The 7,475-nt window shown below is 36.3% G+C and overlaps 1 annotated feature.

Moving 5' to 3' along the window:
* Positions 7,063 to 7,263: a silencer, noted in NCBI's record as "peak1697 fragment used in MPRA reporter construct". NCBI's record gives its function as "represses an SCP1 promoter by STARR-seq MPRAs in K562 erythroleukemia cells {active_cell/tissue: K562}" and the evidence as "EXISTENCE:reporter gene assay evidence [ECO:0000049][PMID:32103011]".

Below are 7,475 nucleotides of genomic sequence, written 5' to 3' on the forward strand. Positions count from 1 at the left end.
GTTTTATGGGCTTTCTTTGCACAATTTCAAGGCATCTCCTCAATGATAGAAAATGTACTTTTTGAACCATTACTCATTCATCTATTCATAAACTCAGAAAAGAGCTATTTTCCTGTATCAGCATTCTGTTCCTTCTCATGTGTGCCTTGCTTGTCCACAGAAAATGGTAGAAAATCCTCTATGGAAAGTTTTCGTGAAAGTAACAGCATCAACATTCTTTTATCTGTGATGACAGAAAGATAATCCACATGTGAAAGCACTTGGTGCTTTAGCTTATTCTGAATGACAGAAGCATAATAGAATCTCCTAAGCATTAACATTCTACAATAACACAGCATTGTCATCTTTGTCTGATCCTGGCTCATGCAAATCTCAGTGTTTCAAATTCCTAACAAAAACTAGAGAAATGCACCTCAAAGCTATTATGTGGAAATGGATTAGGTACAGATCTAAATCTTTAAACAAACCCTTAATGAGGTAAAAGTCATAGTTATATACTTCTTAAGGAATGTTTATGGGCAAGATGAAAATGCAGAATCTAGGTCTCACAAGCAATTTACATGCCTAAATCCTGTATATATTTTGTTTCTCAAAGTATTAGCCTTTTCTGTCCTTTCTCCATATTTGATAGATTGGGTTCTTAATCCTGTTTTGCAAACTGTCTTAAGAATATTGAGAGAACTATTCTATGTTCATTTGAATTTAGAATTAAGGACAATTTGTAATCTCCCACTATCTCCTGACTTTTAACTTAAAAAAAGCAAAAGCCGATTATCTTTAGTAATGATTAAGGTATGGTGAGCCTTCAGAAATTTTTGAAGTAGGAGAAGTTTTTCAGCCACTTCTTCTCATATCTCTTTCATATCTCTTTCAGTGCTTATCTTCCAGGAGCTAAAGTCTTCTGTGTCACTCCCTGGTTGTCCTGAACTACTTATTATTGTCTTATGCACTAAATCTAGATCTTCCTTTCCCAGCATTACCGTTGTCTCCAAAGTTATCTCTCTTTTGTTGAACCGATCAAACCTTAACCGTCTGGTTTCTCATTCTCTTGGCTTTCTGCTCCTAACCAGTGCTTAGGCAGTTAGCATGGTAGGATTAGAAAGAGCCTTGAGTCAAAGTTCTGGCCAACACCTGTGGTGTGCCCTTCTATGCTGGGCACTATTCTAAATGCCTAGCATGTTGTAACTTGTTCATTCTCGAAAACAGTCCTATGAAAGCAGGCACCATGGGGTTAAATCACTTGTCTAAAGTCACACAGCTATCAAGTGGGGGAACCAGGATTCCGGTCCACGGGCTTTGGGTCTAGATTCTATATGTTTTGTTGCTATGCTATCATAGTGACAATGATTAACCCTGTGTTCTTCTCTTGACCTCGGTTTCTTCTTATATCAAATGAGAGGGTTTAGACAATAACAAAGATCAACTTCCACTTTAAAACTGTATATTTCTAAGGGAAAACTCTAATTGAATTGCCTGAGTTACATCTAAGGCTAGACCCACAAGTGCTTTGTGACTGGAGATAGAGGGCACCAAATAAAATTCCATTTGCTAACAGCAAATACTGGTGACTGTTTTTTCTTGTATTATTGGAGGGTGTGCAATTGATGGCTGAAGGCTGGATGAATAAGTAATTATCTACACTACTACTATAATTTAACATGGTATCTCAGAATTGTATTTCTTTGCATATGAAGAATATGCAGATATTCTCTGCATTCATAATGGCTTGCACAAAACAGAAATGTATTTCTCCCATGTAAAAGAAGTCATGGGATAGGTGCTCCAGAAGCTATGGTAACTTAATGATCCAGATTCTTTCTAGATTTCCACTCTACCATTTTAGCTCATGGCTGCCCTTCTTGAGATCAGCTGATGGTGTAATATGTCTGTTTTCTAAATATAAGGAAGGAGAAGGGAGCAAGGACAAAACCCCCCCTCTGTATAAGTTAGCTGTCTTCAAACAGCATTTACTGAAGTCCCCTCAAGCACTTCCACTTAACACTTCTACTATGAATCTTTGGCCAGATAGCTTGGCCAGTCTTAACACTGAAGTAGCCTGGGACACGTTCTCTCTTAGCTGGATGCTTTTCAGTCCTGAATAAAATCATCATTCTATGCAGAAGGGGACAGCAAATATTGGGTGGAAAAGGGAGTATTGGTAACCAGTTATGAGATAGTTATAGAAATCCACATAAGAAATAATAACAGTGGCATGGGGCAGGAACATTTGTAAGGTATTTAAGGTAGATTTGATAGGACACAGTGATTGATCAGATGTGAATGATGAGAAAGATGGGGGAGTCAAAGTCAATGACTAAACTGAAGTGACAAATTGGAAGGAGGTGCCATTCTCACATAAACAAGAACATGAGGAGAAACTGAACACATGGAGAAAGTGATTTAACAGCTTCCACCTTTGTTAAAATTCAGGTATGTGTAGAGGAATCAAGAAAAAATTCCAGGAGGCAATTTCTAGATATTCAGGACTTGAGCTCAGTAAATTGATCTGGGCTAGAAGTATGTAGATGTGTGAGCAGCTAGTATTATAGATAGTAACTGACATAATTGGAATTGATAAGTTTACCTGGGAAGAAAGACTAGTACTCTGCTACTGAGAAATAGCTACGTTTAAAGGTGGAGAAAGAAAGAAGACCCAAGAAGTAAACAGAAAGGCAGGAGGAAAGCCAGGAGAGCTTGGGATAATTCAAGCCAAACTAAGAGTTTCAAGGAAAGGGGAATTGTTAATACCGTTAGGTGACACTGAGGAGACAAGTAAAACAGAACTAAAAAGATATGTTATGATTTGATGCCAATGAAGTTCTCAATGGCCTTGAAGAGAGCAGTTCTGTGGACTGTTAGTGAAAAACAAGAAAACAGTGAGATAAAAAGTATATAAAGAGGCTGGTCACAGGGGCTCATGCCTATAATCCCAGCACTTTGGGAGGCCAAGGCGGGCAGATCACTTGAGGTCAGGAGTTTGAGACCAGCCTGGCCAACATAGTGAAACCCCGTCTCTACTAAAAATACAGAAATTAGCTGGGTTGCTGGTATGCACCTGTGGTCTCAGCTACTTGGGAGGCTGAAGCATGAGAATCGTTTCAACTCGGGAGGTGGAGGTTGCAGTGAGCTGAGATTGTGCCACTGCACTCCAGCCTGGGTGACAGAGCAAGACTCTGTCTCAAACAAAACAAAACAAAAGCAGTGTAGAAAAGATAAGGAAATTGAGACAGTATGTGCAGATTACTTTTTCATAAAGCTTGTAGTAAAAAGGAGAAAGAAAGGAGGACACAGAAGTAAAGGAGAAGACGGTCAATACGGTGACGTTCTCCAGGGCTATTGCACAGTTCTACTGATTACTTTTAGACAGAAGAAAAGACATCTAAGTCATTGCAATAGGAAGGAAGGAAAAGACTTAGAAGCAGTTCCATTTCTTTGTAAATAATAGGAATTTAAGGGAGTTCCCATCCAATGGTATTATTCCTCTGTGAAGTAGCAGTCAAGCTCATCTGCTGAGAGTAAGGAGAGGTTTAAAAAGTATGGAGCAGTTTGAAAGGACTCTAGAGAAGCTGTGGGAATACTGACCCACAAAGCACAGGGGGTGCTGGAAACAGTTAATAGGCAAGGAGTGAGATCACAGACCTCAAGACCCCAGTAAATCACTGCAGTCTTCTCCTTTTCCTCCTTCTGCCTTTTAACATTTGCAAACTTTCATATTTCTTGTCAACTTATTCCTAGTCTTTTATATTTTCCTTTCTATCAGGAGTTTTCTTTTTCATAATATTTTCTAACTAGTTATTGCCAACATAAATAAATCTATTTCAAATTTCTGTATTAATTCCTGGCCATCAAGCTGAAATCTGGTATTGATTCTAGTCATTTTCCAGTTTATTACTTTGGTTGTTCAGATAAAAAATACTTCTGCAAATAATGACTATTTCATCTCTCCTTTCTAAAGCATTTTTCTCATTCTTTTCCCTTTTTTATTCAGTGATTATGACTTCCCAATAATGACGAACAACAATGGCTACAGAAATCTGTTTCTGACATTAATGGGGATGCTGCTGGTTCTTTGCCATTTATTAACATGTATTTTGTCCATAAATATTTATTAAGCACCTATCATATGTAGTTACCATGTTAGGGTACTGGTTCTATCTACTGTGGTGAAATAATTTGACACCATTTCTGACCTAATGTAAATTCGAATGGAGAGGTAAAGATTTTAAAAGTTTACAAAGATATGACCTCGTAATTGTAACTTGTGACAAGATTTATGAATGGGGAAAAAGGGTGCTATGAGTGAAAAAAAATGCAAGCCCTAATTTAAATCAGAGGGTCAAATAATTTTCCTCTGAAAAAGTAACATTTAAGTTAAGACATAAAGGTGAGTCAGAATCATTGAAAAAATCAGGTAAAGGTGTCAGGGTAGGATGAATAAAGGGATTGAGTGGGGTATTAATTAATAAAGAACATGAAATGAGATTGCAGATGGAGATTATTTTGTACAATGCAAAGGATATAGAGTACATACTAAATGCTTATATTAAAAGTTAACTTGGAATATAATTTTAGATGATACTGGATTGTCTTTCACATAAAGATGAACTTTTATGCTTAGTTTACTAGTTGAGCTTTTAAAATTATGAAAAAAATTAAAATTATATTAATAGGCCCTACAGTTATATCTTGAAATGATCATATGGATTTTCTTCTGTTACCTATGTATGTGACAAATTGTGTAAACAGTTTTCTAATATCAAACTATCCTTTCATTCCAAAAATAAATCTTAGTTGGCTATGATATGTGTTTTTAATATAACTTTATATTTAATTGGCTTATAACCTCTTAGGAATTTTGTAAATACATTAACAGATACATTTTAAGAGGTTTTTGGGTTTTTTTTTTGGCTTGTTTTATTTGGTGTGATTGTCAGATATGTTATTACCAAAGCTATGCTAACTTGATAAAACCAACTAGAATTTTTTCATTAAAAAACGTTTGGAAACAGCATCACCCTAAAAAAAAATTTTCAAATAACATTCCAATAAAACCATTTGAGCTCTGGGATTTTGGTGGCGTGCATTTCTTTGACAATTTTGTCAATTATTTCTGGTTATGTCCGTTAAGGTTTTATGCTTATTTTGAGTCACTTCTGGTAATTCATGTTATCCTAGTTTAGGTTACTATCAGTTTTCCACCGGATTGCTTACACTGGATTTCTAACTGGTCTCACTTAATTCCAAGTCAATTTTTTCCTTGTACTGTCAGCATGATCTCTCAAAATTGTTAATTCTAATCAACTTCTCTGAAAACCCTTCAACAATTTTCCATTAGTCTCAAGATAAAGTACAAACTCCTTACACAAAATATGAGCCATGAGTGTCTTCATCATTCCTAAAACTAAATCACTTACTTTTATGTCATTTTATTTCAACTCCCAGAATGTTAGGTTCACTCTTCCCCTGCATCTGCCTCCATTATTTCCTGTAGCTAAAATTTCCTTGCCCCTGTTTCCTAATCTCTGGATAACTCTCCTTGTTCTTCAGATGTCTGCTCAGATGTAATTTTCTCCTGGAAGCTTGTCCTAACTCCAAATATGTGTACTCTGGAGACATGTACCTATAGGAGGACTATGAGAAACTATTCAGTCCCTCTTTGCTTGTCTGTCTTACTCAAAGGGCTATAAGCAAATCGAGAGACCATATATTTCTTTATTCATTTTTATATTCAGTAAGTACTCAGTAAGTATTTACTGATTATGGAATAAAATGACAGGTGTGAGGAATTTCTAAGTACATTGTAATTTTTAACAACTCACATTTATTTAGCCTTTCCAAAGTGTTCAAAATTTTCCCACTCACATATCATCAGTCTAAGTAATATTTAATTTAATCACAAAATTACAAAAACAAGTACAACTGGCATAAAGACATTTAGGAATGAAAACCCTGATTCTTTAGGAATATAGCTGAACCCATGAGAACAGAAATAGTACTAGCCACAAGCACAGCGATGGGCAACATTTGTTCTTTTGTAAGTTGGTTAAGTGGTGTTTCTACTACAGTAGAGTTTCTACTAGATATATAAACAGTTCACAATGGAGAACTGGTTGTGGAAATTTATTTGTAAGTTTAATGATTTGAATCTTAAAACATTTTGTCATACAAAATAAGAAATGGTTAAGATAGCAAGACTGGGCAAAAGTCCTCATTCACATGGAAATTAACCTAATACTACATTATTAGAGCCTGGGTTTTAGGTCCATGGAGCTGGGAACTATGTAGTATACCAAAGGGAGGAGAAGAAATCATATAAGGAGGACTTTTCCTTTTCCTGATATTCATAAGGCTCAGAAAATTCCACAATATACCAAAAAAGATTTTGTGAGCCCAGATGCTCCTGCATGTTTCTCCTATCTCCTGTTTAATCTTGATCTTGGGTGTTCCAAAATGTTCTATTTAGGAACATCATTTAGAAGGTTCTGATTTTTGTAATTGATTTCTTTTTCCCACCTTTTGTTTCTTTACTTACTGGCAAAGCACCACATAACCATTCTACTGATATATGTCAAATAAACAAATTTGTATGCTTATACTGGGTATATATCTTCTGTTTGAGAAAATATTTGGTTTGCACATCTTGGGACTAATCTTTGGAATTATTTATTCCATGATTACTAGTAGGGGTCATGCATATTTTATTTGGAGGGTTCAGAACTCAAGTCACCTGCCAAAGTGTTGGGGAAAACCTGCCAATGTGATGGAAGAATTTACAATATCCCGCAATACCTTTTAAAAAAATTCCATCTATCTCTGCATTATTAACTTCCTAGAAAAGCCTAGTCAGTGTCTCCTTCTGAAACATTGCTCCAAGATCATTTATCTCCCACTAAATGTCTGCTGAAAAATTTAATGTTGTTATGCAGATATCTACCAAGGGACTCCCCTTTGCTGGCCAGTTTTAGGATCTGACTTGGAAATCTTTTTCAAGTTGGGCTCTCAGGAATTGAGAGTTAGAATATTGAGTTAGTTTTGTTGTGGATATTGAACTAGACAATTACCTAGAGCCGGAGTTGGGGTTCAGGCCAATGATAGCCACATTTATGGAAAAGCCAAAACTCAAGAGCCTTTCCAAGAAGGCAGGTTAGAAACAAGGCAGCCATGCAGAGATAAGCAGAGATGGGATGTGGCTGCAGAAACAAAGAGGTAAAGTGGCTGCCTCATAACTTTTGGATTAACTGAAACCCCAGTATATTGCCAGCACCTTATTTCCTTGAGATTCCCTAATCTTTTCGATAAACTTGACAGTTTGTATAGTTTATGGGGGTGTCAGTTTCTTGCAACCAAATGATTCCTGGCTAATTCTTTGGACCATATTGAGAATTTGAAAACAAGTAAAGTTTCAGATGGAAAAAATGTGACTCATTGAAGAGACAGAGTGAAGAGCAAGAAAAACATCGCCCCCTCCAACTCCA

The sequence above is a fragment of the Homo sapiens genome, chromosome 12 (genome assembly GCF_000001405.40).
Source record: "Homo sapiens chromosome 12, GRCh38.p14 Primary Assembly".
Lineage (NCBI taxonomy): Eukaryota > Metazoa > Chordata > Mammalia > Primates > Hominidae > Homo > Homo sapiens.